Source organism: Homo sapiens, chromosome 7 (assembly GCF_000001405.40).
Source record: "Homo sapiens chromosome 7, GRCh38.p14 Primary Assembly".
Taxonomy (NCBI): Eukaryota; Metazoa; Chordata; class Mammalia; order Primates; family Hominidae; genus Homo; species Homo sapiens.
Genome location: NC_000007.14, coordinates 33,043,809 through 33,070,615, shown reverse-complemented (window position 1 = coordinate 33,070,615; position 26,807 = coordinate 33,043,809). Strand labels below are relative to the sequence as shown.

Sequence of the window (26,807 nt, the reverse complement as noted above, 5' to 3'; positions counted from 1 at the left end):
ATTCCAGGGTCTGGAGGATGGTGACCCTATTCTCACAGTTCCACTAGGCAGTGCCCCAGTGGGGACTCTGTGTGAGGGCTCTAACCCTACATTTCCTCTCCATACTACCCTTAAGTAGAGGTTCTCCATGAGGGCTCCGCCCCTGCAGCAGGCTTATGCCTGGACATCCAGGCTTTTCCATATATCCTCTGAAATCTAGGCAGAGGCTCCCAAGACTCAACCCTTGCACTGTGTGCACTGACAGGCTTAACACCACATGCAAGCTGCCAAGCTGCCACGCTTGTCCCCTCTGAAGTAGCAGCCTGTACCTGGTCCCCTTTGAGACATGGCTGGAGCTGGAGCAGTCAAGATGCATGGAACAGTTTATTATTTATTTTACAGCACACTACTGGGAGATGAAGACATCAAATGTCATGACCTCCAATTGGGTGACTACATTTATTGGGAAAGACATCAGCTAAAGGACTCTCTTAAGCCTCACTGGAAGGAACCTTATTAGATACTGTTGACTAATCATTGTGCAGCTAAACTTGAAGGATTTGACTCTTGGGTTCACATCTCTCATTTTAAAAAAGCCCCAACTCCTAAATGGATTTCTAAGCCCTCTGGAGATCTTCAGTTAAAATTTTGAAAGACTCCTGGCTCCTCCAAAGACAAGACAAAGACAACAACAGGGTACACAGTGTATCTCAAGATACTAGACCAGTCCCATACAATAAATTTATTCTATAGCTGGGCATGGTGGTGCATACCTGTAATCCCAGATACTTGGGGGGATCGCTTGAACCTAGGAGTTCAAGACCAGTCTACGCCACATAGCAAGACCTCATCAAAAAACAAAATAAAACAATAATTTCCTCTGTATATGACTTCTACTCTCATGCTTTCCTTTTATACTGTCTAAATATTTAATGACAACCCCTCTGTGGAGGACAAAGCAACTCCATCTTAAAAGTTAATCTGGCCGGGCACGGTGGTTCACGCCTATAATCCCAACACTTTGGGAGGCCGAGGCAGGTGGATCACCTGAGGTCAGGAGTTCGAGACCAGCCTGGCCAGCATGGTGAAACCCTGTCTGTACTAAAAAAAATACAAAAATTAGCTGGCCATGGTGGTGCACACCTGTAATCCCAGCTACTTGGGAGGCTGAGGCAGGAGAATTGCTTGAACTTGGGAGGCAGAGTTTACAGTGAGCCAAGATTGTGCCATCGCACTCCAGGCTGGGTGACAGGGCGAGGCTCCGTCTCAAAAAAAAAAAAGCTAATACACCATGTTGGCTTCTGATATTCTTTGTTCTGAGAAGGCATCTAAGATTTCCAGTTTATCTATCGTTCATTGTGTAAAAGCAAGTACTTACCATAAATACTGCCCTAAAGTCAAACAAACTTGATATTATTATATGTCAATTGTCCTACACATTCCTTCTAAACCACCCCTTCCCACTGGTATATAAGCCTTGGGTCTGAGGGGTCATGGTAATGGGCATCCACCATCTTGTCTTACTGCCACTGAAGACACAGACGTGGCTTCTGTTTATAACTGGATTTGTCAGCCTCTGTCTTCAGCCTCTCAGCTTCTGTGGACTTTGGGGTAGGTTTGCACATATCTGCTCCCCACAAAACACCTTCCTTTATTCAATACCCTCACCATACATTGGAAAATAACTAATTTGATGAACATAAATATGGGACAGACTCTTATTTTCCAATATTTCCATATCAAAATGACATTGGTATTCTAATGTCAACCGCTTGGAACCAATCCAATGTTCCTACAGCTTATGGTACTTTCTTTTCAGATATAATATACTATCTGAAATAGTATAATGTACTATCTAGGTTCCCATGTAGAAAGGAACATCCAGAAAGTCCTTCCCAATTCTAGATCTCGTTGGTCTATTTTTAATACTTGACAAATGGATCATTGTGTTTCTATAAATATAGGTATCAGTTACTGTGCAAGGTCCCCAGGTATAAGAAAAGACAGCAGCAACCTGTGTGCCCTGTCACAGTATCTCTTGACTGAGGGGACAGAAACCTTGCTTTTGTGGTTGGAAAAAAAACAGTATAATGTAACCTAAAATCACACAGTAGGAATCACTTAATGGACTAGGATCCCACTAGATGGTAATTTAGGACTCACTCAGAAAAAATATGGGAAGTCTTATGACACACTCAGACTAAGCTCTATTTAGGAGTAGCTACCATTCACCTCATGTTGATTTGGAACACTCAACATTTTTGGGTCCATAACTTATACTCAAACTGCACCTCTGCCATAAATGCCCAGTGGCAACAACATGTTTGGTGGATATGGCAACACTGGCCAAGTAAGGTAGAGATCCTTAGGGGCAACAGGTGCAGGATTGGGGGTGTTAGGGCAAGTCAAGAGTGCATATAATGAAAAAAGGCATTTTCAAAAAAAATCAATACTTACTGACCTAAATTTAAGCTAAAGGAAGTACTCTTCCAGGAAAAAAATAAAGGCTAGGCAGCTGCCTGAAAAGATAATGATGCTATTTTTAAAGCGGGTAAATCAAACTGCTCAATTTATGGGGAAAATGCTAAGGTCCAATAGTGAAAAAGAGCATGTGTCCAAACTCACTTTTTTAGTTCTTTTTTTTTTTTATGGATTTAGGGGTACAAGTGCAGTTGTGTTACATGGATATATTGAGTAGTGGTAAAATGTGGGCATTTAGTGCACCCATCACCAGAATAATATACATTGTATCTAATAGGTGGTATTTTATCCTGCCCCCCTACCCTTGCACCACTTGGAGTCTCCAATGTCTATTATTCCACTCTGTATGTTTATGTGCACCCATTGTTTGACTCCCACTTGTCAGTGAGAAAAAAAATTAATTTTGTTTCTGAGTTATTTCACTAAAGAAAATGGTCTGCAGTTCCATCTATATATATAAATATATATATTTATATATAAGTGTTTTATATACTTATAAATTATATATATAAATATATTACATATTACATATTATAAATATATAAAACACATATTTATATATTATATATAATATATACTATATAACATATAAAATATATAAAATAAAGGCTAGGCAGCTGCCTGAAAAGATATTGTATATTATATATACAAATATAATGTTATATATAAAATATATATTTTATATATACTTATATAATATATAAATTATATATTTTATATAATTTATATTATATAAAATATATATAATATATATATCTTTATGTCCATGAGTACTCAATGTTTAGCTCCCATTTATAAGTGAGAACATGCAGCACTTGGTTTCCTGTTCCTGCATTAATTTGCTTAGGATAATGGCCTCCAGCTGCATTAATGTTGCTGCATATGACATGATTTTGTTCTTTTTATGGCTGTGTAGTATTGACTCATGTCCATGTACCACATTTTCCTTATCCAATCCATTGTTGATGGACACGTAGGTTGATTCGATGTCTTTGCTCTTGTGAATAGTGCTGTGATGCATGTGTCTTTTTGGCAGAATAATTTCTTTTCTTTTGAATATATACCCAGTAATTAGATTGCTGGGTTGACTTGTAGTTCTGTTTTATGTTATTTGAGACATGTCCAAACTGCTTTCCACAGTGGCTGAATTAATTTACATTCCCACCAATAGTGTTTAAGCATTCTCCTTTCCCCATGGCCTCACCAGCATCTGTTGTGTTTTGACTTTAAAAGCCATTCTGACTGGTGTGAAACGATATCATATTGTGGTTTTGATTTGCATTTCTCTGATGACCAGTGTTGTAGAGCATTTTTTCATATGCTTGTGGGCCATTTGTATGTCTTCTTTTGAAAAATGTTGTCCTTCATGTCAAGGGCAGTATGGTCACTTTTTAATGGTTTTTCTTGTTGAGTAGTTTGAGTTTCTTATAGATTTTGAATAGTCACCCTTTGTCACATGCATTCTTTGCAAATATTTTCTCCCATTCTATAGGCTGTATGTTTAGTCTGTTGATTATTTGTTTTGCATTGCAGAAGCTTTTTAGCTTAATGAAGTCCCATTTGTCAACTTTTGTTTTTCATTTTTGTTGTTTCCTTTTGAGGACTTAGTCATAAGTTCTTCGCCTAGGCCAATGTCCGGAAGAGTTTTTCCCAGGGTTTCTTCTAGGATTTTTATAGTTTCAGGTCTTACATTTAAGTCTTAAATCCATCTTGGTTAATTTTTGTATACGGTGAGAGACGGGGGTCCAGGTTCATTCTTCTGCATATGGCTCTAAAATTATCCCGGCACAATTTATTGAATAGGGTGTCCTTTTGCCAGTGTATATTTTGTCAAATATCAGTTTGCTGCAAATATGGGGCATTTATTTCTAGTTTCTCTATTTTGTTCCATTGATCTATGTGTCATGTCTATTTTTATACCAGTACCATGCTGTTTTGTTTACTATGGCTTTGTAGTATAATTTTAAGTCAAAATGTGATACCTCCAGCTTTACTCCTTTTGTTTAGGATTGCTTTGTCTATTTGGGCCCTTTTATGGTTCCACATGAATTTTAGGATTGTTTTTTCTAATTCCATGAAGAATGACATTGGTAGTTTGCCAGGTATTGTGTTGAATCTGTATTTGCTGAATATGTATTCCTGAATCTGTATTTGCTGAATCTGTATTGTTGAATTTGAATTGCTTTGGGCAGTATGGTCATTTTGATGACATTAATTCTTCTAATCCTGGAGCATGAGGCGTTTTTTCCATTTGTTTGTGTCATCTATTCTTTCTTTCTTTTTTTCTTTCCTTCTTTCCTTCCCTTTCTTCCATTCTTTTCCTTTTTCTTGAGACAGGGTCTCACTTTTTTTTTTTTTTTTTTTTTTTTTTTGAGACACAGTCTTGCTCTGTTGCCCAGGCTGGAGTGCAGTGGCATGATCTCGGCTCACTGAAAGCTCCACCTCCTGGGTTCATGCCATTCTCCTGCCTCAGCCTCCCGAGTAACTGGGACTACAGGCGCCCGCCACCACGCCCAGCTAATTTTTTGTATTTTTAGTAGTGACGGGGTTTCATCGTGTTAGCCAGGATGTTCTCGATCTCCTGACCTTTTCACCAAGGCTGGAGTCCATAATCATAGCTCACTGCAGCCTCCAACTGCTAGGCTCCAGCAATCCTCCCACCTCAGCCTCCTGAGTAGTTGGGACTACAGGCATGCAGTGTCAGGCCTCTGAGCCCAAGCTAAGCCATCATATACCCTGTGACCTGCAAGTTATATGCCCAGATGGCCTGAAACAAGTGAAGAATCACAAAAGAAGTGAAAATGGCCTGTTCCTGCCTTAACTGATGACATTCCACCACAAAAGAAGTGAAAAATGGTGGGTCCCTGCCTTAACTGATGACATTACCTTGTGAAATTCCTTCTCCTGGCTCATCCTGGCTCAAAAGCTCCCCCAGTGAGCACCTTGCGACCCCCACCCCTGCCTGCCAGAGAACAACCCCCCTTTGACTGTTAACACATTTTCCTTTACCTACCCAAATATTACAAAACGGCCCCACCCCTATCTCCCTTCACTGACTCTCTTTTGGACTCATCCCGCCTGCACCCAGGTGAAATAAACAGCCTTGTTGCTCACACAAAGCCTGTTTGGTGGTCTCTTCACACGGACGAGAGTGAAACGCAGCACCATGCCCAGCTAATTTCTTTGGTTTTTCAGGGATTGTAGAGACAGGGTCTCGCTATGTTGCCGAGACTGGTCTCAAACTTGTGGCCTCAAGCAATCCCCCAACCTTGGGCTTCCAAAGTGCTGAGATTACAGGCACCAGCCACCTCACCTGGCCTGATTTCTTTCATCAGTATTTTGTAGTTCTCCGTGTAGAGATCTGTACTAGTCTGTTTTCAGGCTGCTGATAAAGACATACCCCAGACTGCGCAATTTACAAAAGAAAGAGGTTTAATTGGACTTCCAGTTCCACGTGGCTGGGGAAGCCTCACAATCATAGTGGAAGGCAGGGAGCAAGTCCCATCTTACATGGATGGGAGCAGACAAAGAGAGAATGAGGAAGACGCAAAAGCGAAAACCCTGATAAAACCATCAGATCTCCTGATACTTAAGTCACTACCACGAAAACAGTATGGAAGAAAACACCCCAATGATTCAATTATCTCCCACCAGGTCCCTCCCACAACACATGGGAATTATGGGAGTATAATTCAAAATAAGATGTGGGTGAGGATACAGGGTCAAACCATATCAAGATCTTCCATGTCTTTCAACAAGAATAATTAATATGTTAATTCACATAGAAGCTGAAATAGTCTCCAAACATGGCCAACCCTCTTAGATTCAGAAACACAAGGTTTACACTTATAAAAAACATATGGACCCCTTTCCTCCTGGAAATTTACTACCAGGGTTTGTAGTCTAATTGACTATACTCCTACAGCTTTAACATCTCATATAGATGATAATCAGACCTATGATATAGTATAACTAGTTAAAATAGAAATCATATTTCAGAGTACCCACATTCTTCCCATGTGCAGTTGACGGGCCATATTACAAAAACAAAATTTGGAACTCCATTTCTGTTTTAGATTGTCCACAGCTTCAAGACGAATGTTATCGTCTACAAAATGTTTAAAATCCTGAAATTATAGAAACGTGGCTTTAGTCTCTACCCATTCAAAATAATATGTAATATATGGAAAATGTTTTTGTTGAGGAAGAAAGATAAATGAGACTGTGACCATCTTAGGCCTCACAATCAGACAACATTTAAGTCATATTGGTATTTGGTGCAAAACTGGATTCATAAAAAATTACTTTGGCGACAAAATGACACAGTAGTCTAGATATTGATACTCAAATATTCTGGGTATTAAAACTCAGTCTTCTTCAGGTTATACTCCCAGCTAACTTACTTTGGGACACGTTCTCGGTCTATACTGAGTCTGTGTTCCCAGGCTTAAGTCCTCAAACTTGGCCGAGTAATAAAACTAACCATGATTTCTTTAAGTTTTAGTACCTGTTATTTCACCTTTCGGTCGACAAATCGTTTTTCTCATGTTCCTCTGTCTTACATCAATTTAATTTGTAGACCAGCCAAATGACCTAAAAGGCTAGAAGGAAACAATTTTTCCTCCCCTACAACTATTTCCTCTAGTCCTCCGGCTGAAAGTTGTTCCACGTCCTGGGCAGAGAGAGCCCCACCAGGCAGCACCACCAGCTCCACAGAGTTGGAGCGATTCCCCCAAGAAGCTCCCCTGCGCCCCTCCTCACCCCCAGAGACCAGCAGAAGAAATGGCATCTATCCCTTGGAAGACACTAGGCAGGAGAGAACAACTGCAAGCCCTTCTGCTCACACAGAAAAAAGGATGGCGGAGGTGGCGAATGGGATGTAGCAGAAACCCCGCGGCTGCGGCGGAAGGGACACCGCCCCTCTCCAGCCTAACTCTGAGCCATCTTCCCCCTGTTGTTATAGCACTTAGAACGGACGCCACTGCGCAGGTCACACCGTGCCGCGCAGCCTTCTGGGGGTCGGAGTCCAGAGGGGCTGAGGCGCGAAGGCGGAGACCGACTTCTTAGCGGGCCGCAGTTGGAATTAGATTTCTACTGGGGCGGGGCTCGAGCGAACCACGGCCTAATCCTCATTAGCAGAGAAGGATAATTACCGCAATACTCTGCCCTGCCCTGACAGCAGCTCGTGAGACCCTGAGTCTGCTGAAGGCCGCCTCCAGCCTGGGCTCCGGGCACAGGCCACACCCCTCCCGCCGCGTCCTGGCCTCTCCCATCGATGGCGTGTGGGTGGGGCTTCGTGGGGGCGGAGCTGCGCGGGGCGGGGCGTCGCTGCGCGGGGCGGGGCGTCGCGGGCTCGTCCGTGATGCTCTGGGATCCCGCGCTTCCGAGACTCGCAGTCTACGCGAGCTGCCTGTTTTTTTCCTGCTTGGACGCGCATGAGGGCCCCGTCCATGGACCGCGCGGCCGTGGCGAGGGTGGGCGCGGTAGCGAGCGCCAGCGTGTGCGCCCTGGTGGCGGGGGTGGTGCTGGCTCAGTACATATTCACCTTGAAGAGGAAGACGGGGCGGAAGACCAAGATCATCGAGATGGTGAGTGTGGAGGCTCGGCGCGCCCAGAGCACGCGAGGGGCCGGCTGGGCCGTCCGCTGGCCTCGGCAGCCTGTGCTGGGCCGCTGTTCGGTCGCGACGGGGAGCTGCCGGCGTCGCCTGTCAGGCTGGGATCTCGCTAGCTCGGGACGCGCAGCTTGGGGGACCCGGCCGCCCCGCGTGCGGCCACTCCGCGGGCTTGGTGACCAGGGTTGGGTCCCCGGCTGCGGCCCTTGGCTGCCCGTGGTCTTTGTTAGGTTTCCGTTTGAAGGAACAAGGCAGAAAATAGATGAATCGGACACAGGCTACTTTGTGCTGCAAAACCCGTTTCTCTAGAGATAAGCTGCATGTCCTGGGCAGGTGGCTCCTTCTCTCCCTGCCTTGCTCCCGCCCTCCCCCCGGATCCGCGTCAAACCGTTGCCGCTAATCTAGTTGCAATTCCCGCAGAGGACTAGTTTTATGTTGGGGCTGCCGTGAGTTAGATTATGAAAATGTGCAATATCTAAAATTTTACAAGAATGGCAATCCAGGAGAAATTCAGGATAGTTTATTTTGTATTTGAATGTATTCCTTCTTGTCTCAAAACTCCCACGAAATATCTTTGTTTTCATCTTAACTCCCAAAGCTCTTGTATACATTTTCGAATTTAATTTTTTATTGAAGAGGGTGTCTCAAGAATTCCCTTTGAGATACATTATAAGTAATTGTTTCAAAAATGAGGATATTTAGTTTCGTTTTGTATTTTAATTAGAACCCACTCAGGAAGACAATTCTTGCACAAACTTGCACGCTTATGTATTTCCTGAAATGCATAATCCTGGGTATACGCCTGACCGTGTGCTATACATGTGAACATCTAGGGTCAGATGATTTATGATAGAAAAAAATTTAAAATCTACACTAAATAATATCATTTTAGGGTGTAATACTTGGAATTTCTGAGCACCTGCAATATGTTCCAACTGACGAAAGACACGATTTGTCCTATTGGTTGTACTGACCCCAGGTTGAATACAGATGTATTTGCATAATTAAAATTAGCCAGTGTCCCAGCTATTTGGGAGGCTGAGAGGAAGATCACTGGAGTCTGGGAGTTCAAGGTTATAATCACACCTGTGGATAGCTACTGCACTCCAGCCTGGGAAACATAGCGAGACCCTGTCTCTTAAAAAAAAAAGTTAATTCCCACTTGTCTCATATTCCAATAATATTCCCTAATTTTGAATTAATTTATTCTTAAAGGGTCTTAATAATTCTAAAGGCTTATTAAAATTCATTTGTCCCACATCTGTATGCCCACAGCAGCAAATGGTTTTAACTCAGAAGTTTCATTTTGCTTTTGTTGCTTTCCTGCTTAGAAAACTTGGCTTTCTTTTGCCCAAGGTTAATAATGCCTATGTAGGGGAAAAAACCGAGTTGCCATATCTCCCTGCCTGTGCTTAAACTATGGATTGGTCTGTATACCACTTATCTAAGCCAAGTAAGGTTAAAAATCAGTGTGTTCACAAAATCCTTCAATGATACCATCATAGGAACAGTTTGCTATCTTTGTGACAAATAATGAAGACCTATCTAGAATACCAACTTATTGGTACTAAAGAAATCAGTCAATATTTACATGTATGCATAGTATATTAATTCAGATTGTAATATATGTGTAGCCTGCTAGTAGCTTTTCAATGGAAAAAGTGAAAAGAGCTTCATGTTAACTTTTTTAATTTTAATAGGTTGCTTCTTCAAGTGGAAGAAGTATTTGACTGGGGGTCAGAAGACCTGGGTTGGAATCCTAGTTCCATCTTTCTGTAATAATGTAGGTCTGCTCTGCCCATCCTCTGCCCTCCTCCCTCAGAAAAATCTCTGCAAACCCATGATGTCCAACAGACATAGCTCATATTGGTCACAGCTAACGGAGTTAACTACCTAACCAAGTTGGGCCTATCTAACTGGCTAAGAAAACCAATAACTTCTGGGACTTGGTCAAAATGATGCATTGTCTTGCAAGAGTTTTTAATTGAGAGACATGAGGAAGTTGCTAGTGGGTTGTGTATGCTACAGCTGAAATATCCCATAGGGCAGCAAGATTAATGTACAGAAGAAGCCAGTCATGGCTAGGCATGGTGGCTCACACCTGTAATCCCAGCACTTTGGGAGGGTGAGGTGGGAGAACCCTGTCTCAAAAAAAAAAAAAAAAAAAAAAAAAAGAAGGAAAGCAAGATACGGAATGGGATCAAGAAACTGAATTGTAAAGGAATTTTGTAAAGCCATTATAAAGAGTTTGCTCTTTATTTTGCAACAAAGGATCATCAAAGGTTTGCTTTGGCAGGGTACAGTGGCTCACGCCTGCAATCCCAGCACTTTTGGAGGCTGAGGCGGGAGGATCCCTTGAGCCCAGGAGTTCGAGACCAGCCTGGGCGGCATAGGGAGACCCTTTCTCTACAGAAAATAAAGATTTTAGCCAGTGCAGTGGCACACACTTGTAGTGTAGTCCCACCTACTTAGGGGCCGAAGGTGAAATCTCTTCAGTCAAGGTGGTCGAGGCTGCAGTGAGTCGTGATCACACCATTGCACTCAAGCTTGGGTGACAGAGTCACCCAGAGTCTCAAAACAGAGAAACAAAAAACCCAACAGTATGTTTTATGAAGATGAGATAAGGTGGACTGGAAGGGAAGATCCTGGAAAGAAATAAATTTAGGAGGTTGGTAGTATTGCTTGCGAAAGATGATTAGAGATCTTAAACTATGGCACTAGCAACAGGTATGGAAATAAGGGATCAGGAGACAAACATTTCCGAGATAAAATCAACGGGACTTTGTGCACAGACTGTAGAGTCATACAAACCTAGTTTTGAATCTAGTTTTTCTCATTTATCAAGCCATGTGACCTTGGGCAAATTACTTAACCTCTCTGAATCTCCCATTTTTCATCTATTAATTGGGAGATAATGATAGTACCTACTTCATAGGTTGTGAAGATTAAATGAGATAACACAGTGCCTAGAACATAATTGCTTTCTTTCAGAGCTTATTATTTGTGATCATTAGATAAAGGGATTAATTGTAAGGAGAAATAACTTTAAGATTATCAGGTAACTGCTGATTCTGGTTATATTATTAGCCAAGATGAAGAGAAGGAAAAAATGGCAGGTTTGGAAAGTAGCCAGGAGGTAAGGGAAATGTGGAATCACAAGTTCACTTTAAGTCATATGAAATTTGAGATGATCAAGGAATGACCAACTAGAAATGTTCATGAAATAGTTAATATATTTAAAGTGCTTAGAAAAGTGCCTGGCCCAGAGTAACCAATATATACATTACTTATTGTTATTATTAGCAATAGCAACTGAAAATGGAAGGCTGGAGCTCTAAAGATAAATTGAGGCTAGAAATAATATTTTCCCTAATGTCTAGCCTCTCAATGGCCAGTGTGGAGCTGGATATTATTTCTCATCCATAGTTTTACAGCGAGAAGAAAACAGAAAACTTGGCAATGCCAAGTTCAGTAAAGATGCTGAAAGCTGTCAGAGGTGGAATAACAGGAAATGTTTCCAAAAGAAGGGGCAGAATTAGCTATGTCCATCTTCTCTAAGGTCAGAAGTTGATGACAAGATCAGAAGTTGGTCTGAAAGGCTATGGTAGCAGTGGGTTGAGCCGCCGTTGGTAAAACAATGATGTGAAGACAACTAAAAAATGACTTTTGGGCAGAGGAAGTAGTTGTGCTGAGGATGGGTATTTTGTTTTGTTTTTCGAATGGTTGGCACAGAAGTATGTTGGTGGGCAGAGGAGTAGTGAAAAGCAAATGGTTAAAGATAAGAGGAGGAGAAAAAATAATCAGTCTAGCAAAGTTCTAGGGGAGATGTGGACAGATGCCTTTTGAGGGGAATACGGAACATCTCTGTCTTTCTGAAAGAGTGTACTACTCTGGGCCAGGCGCGGCGGCTCCCGCCTGTAATCCCAGCACTTTGGGAGGCCAAGGCGGGTGGATCATCTGAGGTCAGGAGTTCAAGACCAGCCTGACCAACATGGTGGAACCCCGTCCCTACTAAAAATAAAAAAACAAAGTAGTTGGGCGTCGTGGCGGGTGCCTGTAATCCTAGCTACTTGGGAGGCTGAGGCAGGAGAATCGCTTGAAACCAGGAGGCAGAGGTTGCAGTGAGCCAAGATTGCACCATTGCACTCCAGCCTGGGTGACAGAGCAGGATGTCATCTCAAAATAAAATAAAATAAAATAAAAAAATAATAAAAGTGTACTATTCATACTGAATTATAGTTACTTACTCTCCATATTCTCATTATATTACATCTTATTATTTACAGCCTTAGATTAATTGCCTCCACCTACTTCATTCATTACTTCTATCCAGTTAATCTGATTTTTCCTACTAAATGACACCTCTTTCAAATGTTACATACCGACTTCTTTTCTAATTTCTCCTGCAATATCAGAATGTATTCTATTTTTATCAGCAAATTTTCAGTTTTTCTCTAATAAAGCTACCAAAAAGAGGATGAGACTAGAATTCAAAGAAAGAGCCAAAAGGAAAAAAAAATGAGATTGCTTAATCTTATTCAGTTATTCTAATATCCTTTATTAAATTCTCTAAAGTAGAGTATTTATCCAGTGAAGTAAAATGCAAGCACAACACTAGAATGAATGTGTAGTCTTAAGCTTAGCCCCTAAAAACCAACGAGGAAGGGAGGAAATTATTTAGACAGCAGGATAGGGGAGATGGAATGGTCACTAGAACCTCCACAACCAGTTAAAAATGGTCATTTCCAATTTAAATATATCTCTCAACGATTTATTGCTTTGTTGTTAACGTCAACTATTACTTAAGTAGCTGATGTGGGGGATAGGGGAGATGGAACGATCACTAGAACCTCTACAACCAGTTAAAAATGGTCATTTCCAATTTAAACATATCTCAACAATTTATTGCTTTGTTGTTAATGTCAACTATTACTTAAGTAGCTGATGTGGTTTTTTTAAAACTTTAGCATACTGTGTTTCTTTCTAGGACATAAACTTCTTTTTTTATTTTATTTTCTTTTTGAGGCAGGGTCTCACTCGATCACCCAGGCTGGAGTGCAGTGGTTGAATCTCAGCTCACTGCAACCTCCACCTCCTGGGCTCAAGCCATCCTCCCATCTCGCCTTCAGAGTAGCCAGGACTAAAGCACGCACCACCACGCCCAACTAATTTTTGTATTTTTTTGTAGAGATGGGGGTTTTGCCACATTGCCCAGGCTGTTCTCAGATTGCTGGGCTCAAGAGATCCACCCATCTTGGCCTCCCAAAATGCTGGGATTACAGGTGTGTACCAACTGTGCCTGGTCCTAGTAAATAAACTGTTAACAAAAACTTCTTCCCTTCTTCCACTTTAAGACAATATAGGCCAACTCTGGGTGCATTGCCTATGAGTTAGCCCTGCTCCTCAAGGAGCAGTTAAAAAAACAAAAAAGGGCCGGGTGCGGTGGCTCACACCTGTAATCCCAGCACTTTGGGAGGCCAAGGCGGGCGGATCACCTGAGGTTGGGAGTTCGAGACCAGCCTGACCAACATGGAGAAACCCCATCTCTACTACAAATACAAAAAATTAGCCGGGCATGGTGGCACATGCCTGTAATCCCAGCTACTCGGGAGGCTGAGGCAGGAGAATCACTTGAATCCAGGAGGCGGAGGTTGCAGTGAACGGAGATCACACCATTGCACGCCAGCCAGGGGAACAAGAGCAAAACTCCATCTCAAAAAAAACAAAGAAAATATCACATGTTTTCTGGGTATTATACTGAGTGAATCGAAAGCCCACTATTGAGTCTGTGTTTTAAAAAAGAAGGGAGAAGCAACCCAAGTTTTAAACAACTGCTTTAGTGAATCAAATAGACTTTATTTTATTTTATTTTTGAGACTAGGTCTCACCCTGCTGCCAGGCTGGAGTGCAATGAAGCGATCATGGCTCACTGCAGCCTCAAACTCGTGGGCTCAAGCAGTCCTCCCACTTCAGCCTCCCAAGTAGCTGGGACTACAGGCATGTGGCGCCACACCTGGCTAAGTTAAATTTTTTTTTTTTTTTTTTTTTTTTTTTTTTTTTTTTTTTTTTTGGTAGAGACGGGGTCTCACTATTTGCCCAGGCTGGTCTTAAATTCCTGGGCTCAAGCAGTCTTCCTGCCTTGGCTGCCCAAAGTGCTGGGATTATAGGTGTGAACCACCATACCTGGACAGACTTTTAAAATATCTCCATATCTCAATTTTTATCTAATTTATATCAGTGCTTAGATTTATGACTTTTTAGGACCTGTTTTGAATTCTTGATTTGTTTTGTAAAACATTTTCTCTGAATTCCTTTGGCATTTCCTGATGATTTCTCATAATTTAGCAATTTATACAGTGTCTCATATTGTTTATTATTATTTATGTTCCTTGAGGGTTGGAATGGGTGCTTTTCTTTTAGTCTTATTTATTTTTGAGACAAGGTCTCATTCTGTTGCCTGGGCTGGAATGCAATGACATGATGATAGCTCACTGTAGCCTCAAACTCCTGAGCTCAAGTATTCCTCCTGCCTCAGCCTCCCAGGTAGCTGGGAATATAGGCATGAGCCATTATGCCTGGCTAATTTTTTGTTTTCTGTAGAGACAAGACTTTGCTGTGTTGCCCAGGCTGGTCTCAAAATCCTGGGCTCAAGCAATCTTCCCACCTCAGCCTTCCAAAGTGCTGGGATTGCAGGCATGAGCCACCTGACTAGCTGGTCTCTTTAAAAATTAGTTGCACTTGACTAAGAGAAAGAGAGACCCCAAAACAGTGGCTTCAGTAAACAGTAAATTTTATTTTTCTAATGGAATGACAATTCCAAAAAACAGGCAGTTGCTTGTGTTAATTAGGGCCATAAGGATACCAAGGCATAGGTCTTTGACATTTCCCTTGTCTTTTCTTCATGGTCGTGAGATGGTCGTTCCAGTCATGGCCAATGCGTCCATGTTTCAGGCAGCAGAAAGGTGGAATCAGGGAAGAAAATACCTATTTCAGTCAAGCTGAATTTTCTGCTTACAGATAATTGGAGAGAACAAGGTTATATGGCTACCCTTATGTAAGTGAAGTTGAAGAATTGTTTTCTGATTGAGCACATTTGCCACCTTCCAACAAAAATGAGATATTATTAGTAAGAAAGAAAGGGAGAGAGTCCATTAATTGGTTACTTATAATACAGCAGTAGAGAACACAAACTCAGAACAGCTTCTGTCTTCTTTTTTTTTTTTTCCGACACCAAGTCTCGCTTTGTGCTGGAGCGCAGTAGCATGATCTCAGCTCACTGCAACCTCTGCCTCCCAGGTTCAAGCAATTCTCATGCCTCAGTCTCCCGAGTAGCTGGGACTATAGACAGGCACCACCACGCCCAGCTAATTTTTGTATTTTTAGGAGAGATGAGGTTTCTCCATATTTGCCAGGCTGGTCTTGAACTCCTGACCTCAGGTGATCCGCCCGCCTTGGCCTCCCAAAATGCTGGGATTACAGGTGTGAGCCACCATGCCCGATAGCATGTATCTTTTGTTTACCCCGAGTAAAGATATATTCATTCACACTTGAAATATCTAGATTTTAAGTAGCTCTCAACACATAGCCACCTCCTTTGTATGTCCTAGTGAGATGTGGAAGCTAATCTCCCAATTATGTGTCACAACTAGCTTCAAAACTATAGACCTAACAGTACTCCAAAATGAATGCAGATTGAGCATCCCTAATCTGAAAATCTGAAATCCAAAACTCTTCAAAATCTGAAGCTTTTTGAACGCTGACATGATGCCACACAAGTGGCTGAGATATTGACACCTTTGCTTTCTGATGGTTAAGAGTACACAAATTTGTTTTAGCCACAAAATTGTGTAAAATATTTTATAAAATTACTTTTAGGCCATGTATATAAGGTAGATGTGAAACATAAATGAATTTCATATTTAAACTTGGGCACCATCCCCAAGATATAATGTATGTGCAAATATTCCAAAATCCCAAAATACCCGAAATCTGGTCCCAAGCAGTTTGGGTAAAGGATACTCTCAACCTGTGTAAGGTTGTGAGACATAGCAACAAAAGGCTATGTGATAAAGAAACAGGAAATGACATTGCATAATGATTCATGGCTGTGGTGATGTTTGAAGGATAAAAATCATGATTGTTCCAGTTTGAAAAACAGAGAAATACATTAAATTCTTTTTTTTTTTTTTTGAGGCAGGGTCTTACTCTGCCACCCAGGCTGGAGTGCAGTGGCACCATCATGGCTCACTGCAGCTTTGACCTGCTTGACTCAAGTGATCCTCCTACTTCAGCCTCCCAGGTAGCTGGGACTACAGGTGCATGCCACCATGCCTGGCTTATTTTTGTATTTTTTGTAGAGATGGGGTTTTGCCATGTTGCCCACCTGGTCTCAAACTCCTGGCTTAAGCGATCCTCCTACCTCTACCTCCCAAAGTGCTGGGATTACAGACATGTGCCACCATGCCCAGCCCATTAAACTCAACATTATCAAAGGCTATATTCAAGATGATCTTGAATTCCCAAATTTGTAAACGTGGAAATGTTTGTACCAGGCATGTATGACTTTGTCCTTTCAAATCATGTTTGTCAGGTTTCCTGTAGATTATCCATATGCCACAAGTTAACCACATTTTCAACTTTAATGCAAAGTTGTTCTCTTATCTAGTGAGCTACTTGTATATTAGCTAGAAACAGCTCCTTCCTGAAACAGTTTTAGCTTTACAATTTTTTTTCTCTTTCCTTTTGTTGTGAATTCATTTACCTAACAGATGGAGTCCCCTTTGAACTGGATACTTAATTTTAAATTTATTCACAAATTTTTTTCTGACTAAAAGCCATTACTTCTTTCTTTCTTTCTTTCAGTCATTTATTTATTTATTTTAAGAAATGGGATCACAGTCTGTGAGCCAGGCTGGAGTGCAGTGGTACAATCATAGCTCATTGCAACCTCGACCTCCTGGGCTCAAACCGTCTTCCCCCCTCAGCCTCCCAAGTAGCTGGGATTACAGACATGTGCCACCATGCCTGACTAATTTTATTTTTAGAGACAGGGTCTTGTGGCTGGGCACGGTGGCTCACGCCTGTAATCCCAGCACTTTGGGAGGCCAAGGTGGGCAGATCTTGAGGTCAGGAGTTCTGGAGCAGCCTGGCCAACATGGTGAAACCCTGTCTCTACTAAAAATACAAAAATTAGCCAGGCGTGGTGGCACAAACCTGTAATCCCAGCTACTCAGGAGGCTGTGGCAGGAGAATTACTTGAACCCGGGAGGCAGAGGTTGCCGTGAGCCAAAATTACACCATTGCACTCCAGCTCTGGGCAACAGAGCAAGACTCTGTCTCGAAAAAAAACAAAAACAAAAACAGACAGTGTCTTGTTATGTTGCCCAGGCTCATTACATCTTTAGATCCTTTTACTTTCTTCACCTCGGTTACCAATACTAGCCATTGATTGGCGGGCAAGAGGTGGGCATTTTTTCCTACAATACAGCAATTTTTTACAACCTGGCTAAGGCTCCTAAGAGCTGGTTATATAAACCATGACAACTAGAGAAGGATGAAACCTTATTTTGAAATACAGGATCCCATATACTAGTGTTTTACACCAATGGTACTCAAAGAGTGGTCCCAGACCATGGCATCAACATTGAGCAGGAACTTGTTATATATGCGAGTTATCTAGTCCTACTCCAGACAAACAATCAGAAACTTTGAGGTTGGACCCAGCAGTCTGTTTTAACAAGCCTGCAGGTGATTGTGATGTGTGCTAAAGCTTGAGAATCATTTAAGTAAACAATTAAAATTCTTACTACAGCAAAATGCAAATTTTATGTGTAACAAAACTTCCAGGTTACTTGCTCACAAATAATAGAATCGGTGCTGCCAGACAATTACTGTATAAAGAGAGAGTGATGAGGATATAGAAAAATAGGTACTTTCATTTACTTTATTAAAGGCAGTATACATTGGTTAAATGAATGATGGTGCATTTGTATAATAAAATATTGGGCAGCTGTGAAAAAAAAATCTGTATAACTTTTTTTTTTTTTTTTTTTTTTTTTGAGACCGAGTCTCTCTCTGTTGCCCAGGCTGGAGTGTAGTGATGCGATCTTGGCTCACTGCAACCTCTGTCTCCCAGCTTCAAGTGATACTCGTGGTGCCTCAGCCACCTGAGTAGTTGGTATTACAGGCACCTGCTACCACGCCTGGCTAATTTTGTATTTTTAGTAGAGACGAGGTTTCACCATGTTGGCCAAGCTGGTCTCGAACTCCTGACCTCAGGTGATCCACCTGCCTCAGCCTCCCAAAGTGCTTGGATTACAGGTGTGAGCCACTGTACCGGGCTATGTTAACATTTTAAAAAGCTCAAGAAATGGTGACAAGGGGAAAAGGCAAGTTGCAGAACAGTTGTGCTCCCAAAAGAAATACACATGTATATCCTTATGTCATTGGAAATTAAAAAACAAAACAAAACAAAACAAAACAAAAACTTTAGAAGCTGTTTCTAGTTTTACTAATGACAGTGGACTTGGGAGGATGAGACCAGGAAGGGAGACTTCAACTTTTTCATCCTTTAACTTTTTATATTGTTTGACATATCATGAGCATGTATTGCTTTTATATATTTTTTAAATCGGTTTTTTAAAAGCAACAAGATTTTTTAAAGTGTGTTGGGACCACATTGTAGAACATCTCTATTAGTATAAGATATTTGCAATTTATTTGCTAGAGAGGCTTTGGGTATGGTTTTTAAAATAAGTGATACCATCTGGAATGTGTTTTGATACAATTAAACTGATAACTGAGCACGCACTAAATTAATATTATTAGAATCTGGAGGTGGGGAGCAGGAATTAAAATAAGCCTGTATTAAAGATAATGAAGTATTAAACTGTTATGGGAGCAGTAGAAAGAGGAAGACAGAAAAGAGATGGATTGCAGAGGTGAAATCTATAGGACTTTATATTTTTTGCACAGTGTTTTGGATTATCCTTAATGTTCATAGTAGTTTGAATGTTCCTGTGTATTTTATGTTAAATAGTTTCCATATTTACCTCTTTTGTTTGCTTTAAAAATAGTTCAGTTGGCCAGGCGTGGTAGCTAACGCCTATAATCCCAGCACTTTGGGAGGCCGAGGCGGGCGGATCACAAAGTCAGGAGTTCGAGACCACCCTGACCAACATGGTGAAACCCCATCTATACTAAAAATACAAAAATTATCTGGGAGTGGTGGCAGATGCCTGTAATCCCTGCTACCCAAGAGGCTGAGGCAGGAGAATCACTTGAACCCCAGAAGCAGAGGTTGCAGTGAGCCAAGATTGCACCATTGCACTCCAGCCTGGGCAACAGAGTGAGACTCCATCTCAAAAAAAATAAATAAATAAAAAATAAAAATAAAAATAGTTCAGGTATTACATATTTAGAGAGAGTTATTAAAGAGAGAGATATATAAAGAATCTTAAGTCCTATTTTAATCTTTATTCTCTTTTAAATTAGAGGTTGTAGTTTATATCTTCAGCCTAACAACTTGACATGTAATGTCATTAAACCATACCTGATAGGTTTTTTTTCTCTCCTTAAAAACAGCAGTAGGGAAATCTATACAATTCAGTTTTTCCATCAGCAGGTGGCAGACTTCTCTGGCCATTGTGACACACTGCTATTCTATATCAAATTATCTTTCTTGTGTTACGCACTTTTATGTTAACTCTCAGAGTTGCTTAAACCATTAATCTATACAATTTAAACCAAGTAAGACAACTTTCTGCCATTATAGACTTAAATGCCATTTTGTCATTTTTTTCATATATGTTGTTTATCTTCCTCATTTTCAAGGTGCTGATAGATTACAAAGTAGTTTAGCAGTTCATTAAAGAGTTGCTTCATTTGTTTGCCAAGTTCCTTCTTGTAATTAGGTGGAAGTAGAGAGCCAGTGCTTGCAAGATCCTTCCTGTCCCCATTCTGTCTTCTCTACTGCCTTGTCAGAAGGCATAGCCTTCTCCTTTGCCTTATCTCCGATATCATTAGTTAGGCAGACTTTTCCCAGTGAAAAAGATCAGTTTTTCAGTCTATCTGGATTTCTCTGTCAAATGGTTAGGGTTCTAAGGGAACAAGTTGCTAGATAAAATTCAGTGAGACAGGAAAAAGTTGAGAACCCAAGCATTATATACAGCATAGCAAAATGTTGCAAAATAGAAACTTACTATAGTCGGCTTAAGAAAAAAGGAGGCTTCACTGGGACTAGAACTAGAAAGCAGTTAGAAACTGACTCCCATTTGGGTTAATTTGGCACTGTGCTATTGTTTGGTAACTAGGGAAAAACTAAAATTTAGAGGTGCCTACGTTGACCAAGTATACTCTACGCATTTATTTAGTCCTTAAAACACAGTCTAGCTGTAGTTACTTTCCTAATTTTCTGTTAACTCACTTAGGAAATAGCTAGTTAAGTAGCACAGTCAGCATTCGTTTGATTCTTGTACTCTGAAGCTTTTGGATAAAGTTTCCCTGTTTGGGTAATTTAAGCAGGTGTACATTTGTTGCCAATTTTTATGTAATTTTTTTTTTTTTTTTTTTTTTTGAGATGGAGTCTCCCTCTGTCGCCCAGGCTGGAGTGCAGTGGTGCGATCTTGGCTCACTGCAAGCTCCATCTCCCGGGTTCACGCCATTCTCTCGCCTCAGCCTCCCAAATAGCTGGGACTACAGTCACCTGCCACCACGCCTGGCTAATTTTTTTGTATTTTTAGTAGAGACGGGGTTTCACCGTGTTAGCCAGGATGGTCTCGATCTCCTGACCTTGTGATCTGCCTGTCTCGGTCTCCCAAAGTGCTGGGATTACAGCCGTGAGCCACTGTGCCCGGCCTGTTGTCAATTTTTAAAATTTTGATGTCTTTCTAAGCTAGATAAATAGAATAAAAATTCTATTTTGTGTACAATATGTACATAAAAGAGATTTTGTCACATGTTCCTAATTTTGGTAAGATAGGAAACTCTAGTGTTCCATAATTTTTATTCTGTAATTCTTTGTGTGTGGCTTATTTAGTAATGATATACAGTATCTTTTTCCTTTAACAAGTTATAGAATCTATGGCTTGAACAGAAGACAATCTTGTAAGGGAATGGGGTGGTCTTTGAAAGTTTAGTAGTTGGTAAGTCCTTGGTTCAAATCTCAGCTCTGCCACATTTTAATGGTTTATCCTTGGACAAGATACTAAACTTTTCTAAGCTTCAATTTCCAGTTATCTAGAATGGGGATGATTCACCTAAATACTCTTATGCCTTGTTTACTTCAGGGTATTATATTAAGAATGTATTTTGACTTTGTCAGGCAATGTTGCTATAAGGCCTAATAATAATAATTAATAAAGAATATGTTCTTAGTGTTTGTATTTTATTTCACTTGATGTTTTAAAGTAATTATATTTTGGAGAATTCTAACAGTATACTATTCTAAGTGCCTTCCTGGATTAAGATTGAAAAAGAGATGATATACATAAAGTTGTAAACAGTGCTTACCACGTAGTAGTTATTCAATACATATTGTCCTATCTTCTCCCTTCTGTTAATAAAGCTAATTTTGTTCAACTTACTTTTAGACATGATACTCTCTTAAAGTAGATTTAATTATGTAATGCATTAAAAAATTATCTCTAAACAATATTCCATTTGAGCCCTCAGATTTGGAGATAGCAGAATGTTTGGTGATGTCATACATCTTTCTTAAAGTTTAAAAAGATGGGATATGGGGAGATATCCAGCATTATGCCAAATTTTGAGCAACAATTTGTAACCTGAGCACTTAGCACTGTAGAAAACAGGGCCTGATCCCCTGAATGCCTGCCATAATCATTGGAGATGATTAAAGTGACCCGGGGGTCTTGGAGGCATTGCATATATAATTATTTAATTTTGAGCTACTGAAATTTAATTTGGCTAAAACTATGCAAGAAACATAAGTTACTATAGATAATAAAGCTTTCATATATGTTTTACCCACTTTTGAATCCCCTCTAGTACACTTATAGCAAGCATAGATCGATCATGTGATTCACTATAGATTTCAGAAAACTAACTTATGAGGTCCACATTCATGGGTTTCCAGTCATGTGACCTAACTTTAAAGAAGTCTTAATAATTGGACTCATGAGTACCTGAATTATGATCCAGCTTTTTATAAGGAATTTGTTTATTTTAAACTATTTACCAGGCCGGGCAAGGTGGCTCATACCTGTAATCCCAGCACGTTGGGAGGTGGAGGCAGGAGGATCACCTGAGCCTAAGAGTTAGAGACCAGCCTGGGCAAAATAAGGGGACCTCATCTCTACTAAAAATCAAATACATCAAAAAAAAACCACACACACACACACACACACAAATCAAATGTATCAATACTATAAATGAAGACGCCATTTATGGTATTATCTTACATCCTGTTTTCTTGGACCTGACCTACCTATTGCAACATAAATGTCATTTCCTCTAAAAGTTTATTTAAATACAGAATTTAATCCTATTTAAGTAAGAAATCAAAAGACACACACACACACACACACATACACATATAAAAGCCAGGTGTGGTGGCACATGCCTATAGTTCCAGCTACTTGAGAGGCTGAGGCAGGAGGATCACTTGACCCCAGAAGGTTGAGGCTGGTAAGCTAAGATCATACCACTGCACTCCAGTCTGGGTGATAGAGTGAGACCCTGTCTCAAATAAATAAATAATTTATCTATTTTATTTTGTATTGATTCTTTTTATATCATACAATACACGTTGATATAAAAGTGAATCTAGATGAGCAAAAGAAATCTATAATTTTCACCACCTTAAAAGACCCCCGTTTTAGTAAGTGTACTTCCTTTATTTTTCTATGTATATAATTAAGTATAATTTTTTTACCCAAATGAAGTCATTCTGTAATGTTTTAAATCAAGATTGTTTACTTAATTTGTTTATAAATTTATACTTATATTTTCATAACTATATTGTATTTATGCTATTATATCACATGGATATCATAACTATTTAAAAATGTATTTAATTGATGCATAGTATTCAACTCAAGTTATCACCCGCCAGTCCTTCATATGATTTCAGATAATTTTGCTACTAGTTACTATTAATTCATGAATTTAAATCTCAAAATAATTTTGTTTATTGTTCTCTTGCCTTAGTATTTACTTAATGTGTTTATGTGGCACAGTAAGAAGGAAGGGTAGTAAGTTAAATCTTAACTTTTTACTCCTCATTTAGATGTACTCGATATAGTGCACCAATAATAAAAGCTTAAATTGCATTACCTTTTTGCCATTTTTAATTTAACTTATAACAAAATAGTGATCTTAAACAATATTGTTTGTTTCTTTTTAAGGGCAGGAATACCAATTGTGAGATGTAGAAGGAGTCCAAAATTAAAACAGAAAGCTTTTCATCTTGTTTCATTTCAATCATAGAGATTCAGCTATAATAAAATAAAAAGATTCGGGAGGCTGAGGTGAGAGGATCGCTTGAGCATAGGAGTTCAAGACCAACCTACTACACCCCATAGCAAGACCCGACTCTTAAAAAAAAAAAAAAAAGAAGCCAGGTGTGGCAGGGTGCACCTGTGGTCCCCACTACTCCAGAGGCTAAGGCAGTAGAATTGTTTGAACCCGGGAAGCAGAGGCTGCAGTGAGCCAAGATTGCACCACTGCACTCCAGCTTGGGCGACAGAATGAGACTCCATCTCCAAAAAAAAAAAAAAAGTCAGTGCTAAGCATCTTGAAATATTCAAACATATGGCATTTGAAAGGAGAGCCAGGAAAGACTCCCTTCATTTATGTTATTGTCTTACATCCTATTTTCTTGAACCTGACCTACCTATTGTAACATCAGTGTCATTTCTGCTAAAAGTTTAAAACAGAATTTAATGCTTTTTAAGTAAGAAAGTAAAAAAGATATAGTTCATGTTCAACAATTTTACTTGAGTTTTTGAAAATTAAATTACTTGATCTAGATTTTTGCAATTTTTTTTTTTTTGAGACAACCTCCCCCTGTCACACAGGCTGAAGTGCAGTGGCATGATTGTACTGCAGCCTCTACCTTCTGGGCTGAAGTGATCCTTCCACCTCAGCCTCCTGAGAAGTTGGGGCTACAGGCACATGCCACCACACTTGGCTAATTTTTTAACATTTTTTGTGGATACAGGGCCTCTGTATGTTGCCCAGGCTGGTCTCAAACTCCTGGGCTCAAGCAATCCTTCTACCTCGACTTCCCAAGGTGCTGGGATTACAGATGTGAGCCTCAGCCCCAGGCCTAGATTTTTGCAAAGTTTAAGAAATACATTGAGATGGGAACCATAGGTTCTCATCAGTTTGCATATACATATGTCTGTAAATTCATAAGGCTGCAATCAGTCTCACTCACAGTCATCTACTAGGATAAGTTTTTGCAGTGATCTTAAATGATAAAAAACATGAGGCTGGGCGTACTGGCCTAGCGCCTATGGTCCCTGGGAGGTTGAGGTGAAAGGATCACTTGAGCCCAGGAGTTCCAAGCTTTAGTGTGCTGTGCCAATCAAGTGTCTGCACTAAGTTCGGCATCAATATAGGAACCTCCTGGGAGCAGGGGACCACCAGGTTGCCTGAGGAGGGGTGAACTAGCCCTGGTTGAAAACAGAGCAGGTCCATACTCCTAAGCTGATCAGTGGTGGGGTCATGCCTGTGAATAGCCACCGTACTACAGCCTGGGCAACATAATGAGACCCTGTCTCTATGTTTTTTTAAAAAAAATTTTAATTAAAAAAAAAAATGAGGGCCGGGTGCGGTGGCTCACGCCTGTAATCCCAGCACTTTGGGAGGCCAAGGTGGGCGGATCATGAGGTCAGGAGATCGAGACCAGCCTGACAACATGGCGAAACCCCATCTCTACTAAAAATACAAAAATTAGCCAGGTGTGGTGGCGCACGCCTGTAGTCCCAGCTACTCGGGAGGCTGAGGCAGAAGAATCGCTTGAACTCAGGAGGCGGAGATTGCAGTGAGCCGAGATCGTGCCACTGCACTCCAGCCTGGGTGACAGAGTGAGACTCCGTCTCAAAAAAAAAAAAAAATTTTTCATTTGCCATTCATTTTCAAAAAATATGATAAATGATTATTTCATCTCTGTTTTCTGCTCCTTATACATTTTAAACCGTATTCATATAAACATTTATAGTACCTTGTTTCAGTTCTATTTTGAATAGTCATAATATTGAAGTCAGTTCACTGTTGTCTTCAGGGAAGTTTGAAGAGAAGTCACATACCTAGACTGATGTTTTGCATGTTTAAAAAAATCATCTTTCTATTTACATCATGCAGCAATTAGCAAGAACAAGTTTTGCAAGAGTCAGTATAGAGACTATTGCATCTCATCTTCTACTAAATTGTCTTCCGTATATGGCAGCTTCATTGTTTTGTTTGGAATAACTTCCTAGGGTGTCATCCAATTTAAGTTTAAAAATACATTCCTTGTTGGAAAGGTAATTGGATTATAGTAGCCCAACTGTAAATTAGTAGGCAAGTGTAGATTGTATTGTTGAGAAGTAAAAATACTTGCTACAAGTTTTATGTGGGATTATGATGTGATTTCTTTTACATGCAACTTTTAATTAATGCAGTACCTTTGTTTACTTCCCTGTCTCAATGTTAAAGACAAATAATAAGTTATTAAAGCTTAAATTCATATATTTGGTTTTCTGTGGGCTTTTTGTTTTTTCATTATTTGGAATTTCTAAGAAATCTTTTGATGGCAAAATATGAAGTGATAATTTTTAGTTTTTCAAGTTGATTGAATAATTGACTATCTAAAAAGCTCTTAACTAGTTACTCAGAAATAAAAATGGATATCCCTTTTTCCATTGATAAAGACATCCAGTTTCAGCGTTAAAAGGGGAGGAAAAAAAATCTTCCATTTGTGAATTCTGTACAAGTGCTGTGCTCTTTGACATATGAATTTCAGATCCAGAGTTTGCCGCTAGGAGTGATAGGAGTGATTTCTGTTTCTATGTCAATGAGTAAATAAAACTCCAAGGCAACAGGCCCCATTTATTGTGTACAGAGGTGAAAGTCCATTGTGCAGTTAAAGAACCTGTCTTTACAACTTCGTACTTCCATATCCTTTCTATCCCTTCTCAAAAAAAATTTTTTTAAGTGCCCTAGAGCTATTAGAAACAACATTCAGTGTCTTTGATTCAGTGCTTTGCTTGTGTCCTTATTCCTTTCTTGTGGCATATTTTTTAAACATTCTTACTCATTCATAGACTTCTCAAGCCCTCTCATGTTATGTGTTGCCCAGAGACAGCCTGATATAGTTTGGTTCAAAATGTGTCCCATACAAAATTAGCTGGGCTTGGTGGTGCATGCCTGTAATCCCAGCTACTCAGGAAGGCTGAGGCAGGAGAATCACTTGAACCTGGGAAGGCAGAGGTTGCGGTGAGCCCAGATAGCGCCATTGTACTCCAGACTGGGCAACGGGAGTGAACCTCTGTCTCAAAAAAAAAAGAAAAAAAAAAGTGTCCCAACTCTTGTACATTAAGTCACATAAGTAGTAAGTGACTTAACTTCTCCTGACTTCAGATTCTTTATCTATAAAAAGGGAGGAAGTATTATTTTTCTCTTAAAATTACACCAATTAAATTACAATGTATGTAAAGGGCCATCGCATGCTTCTGGGACTTTGAAAAAGCAAGAAAGTGCTTGATACATGTTAGTCCCTCTTCCAGGGAC

General features: G+C 40.2%; 1 protein-coding gene, 1 long non-coding RNA gene and 1 pseudogene across 10 annotated transcripts in view, besides 4 other annotated features; 2 read left to right on the top strand and 1 right to left on the bottom strand.

The window, feature by feature from the left end:
- The window catches only part of LOC124901610 (uncharacterized), a 32,215-nt gene extending 24,784 nt beyond the window's left edge, over positions 1-7,431 (bottom strand). For all 3 annotated transcript variants that reach the window (XR_007060277.1, XR_007060278.1, XR_007060279.1), the window contains exons 1-2: positions 6,968-7,431; positions 6,469-6,587 (exon numbers count right to left, since the gene is read on the bottom strand). This is a non-coding gene — a long non-coding RNA (uncharacterized LOC124901610). The remainder of the gene's footprint in view (positions 1-6,468; positions 6,588-6,967) is intronic.
- Positions 7,326-7,485: an enhancer, noted in NCBI's record as "active region_25833". NCBI's record gives its function as "activates an Ori minimal core promoter by ATAC-STARR-seq in GM12878 lymphoblastoid cells {active_cell/tissue: GM12878}" and the evidence as "EXISTENCE:reporter gene assay evidence [ECO:0000049][PMID:35858748]".
- Positions 7,726-7,845: a silencer, noted in NCBI's record as "silent region_18088". NCBI's record gives its function as "represses an Ori minimal core promoter by ATAC-STARR-seq in GM12878 lymphoblastoid cells {active_cell/tissue: GM12878}" and the evidence as "EXISTENCE:reporter gene assay evidence [ECO:0000049][PMID:35858748]".
- The window catches only part of NT5C3A (5'-nucleotidase, cytosolic IIIA), a 48,664-nt gene continuing 29,696 nt past the window's right edge, over positions 7,840-26,807 (top strand). For all 7 annotated transcript variants that reach the window (NM_001374335.1, NM_001374338.1, NM_001374339.1 and 4 more), the window contains exon 1: positions 7,840-8,048. In NM_001374335.1, the coding sequence (NP_001361264.1) occupies positions 7,911-8,048 (138 nt within the window). In that variant the 5' untranslated portion in view covers positions 7,840-7,910. The remainder of the gene's footprint in view (positions 8,049-26,807) is intronic.
- Positions 8,146-8,205: a silencer, noted in NCBI's record as "silent region_18087". NCBI's record gives its function as "represses an Ori minimal core promoter by ATAC-STARR-seq in GM12878 lymphoblastoid cells {active_cell/tissue: GM12878}" and the evidence as "EXISTENCE:reporter gene assay evidence [ECO:0000049][PMID:35858748]".
- On the top strand, positions 24,526-24,818 carry RN7SL505P (RNA, 7SL, cytoplasmic 505, pseudogene; annotated as a pseudogene).
- Positions 26,257-26,416: a silencer, noted in NCBI's record as "silent region_18086". NCBI's record gives its function as "represses an Ori minimal core promoter by ATAC-STARR-seq in GM12878 lymphoblastoid cells {active_cell/tissue: GM12878}" and the evidence as "EXISTENCE:reporter gene assay evidence [ECO:0000049][PMID:35858748]".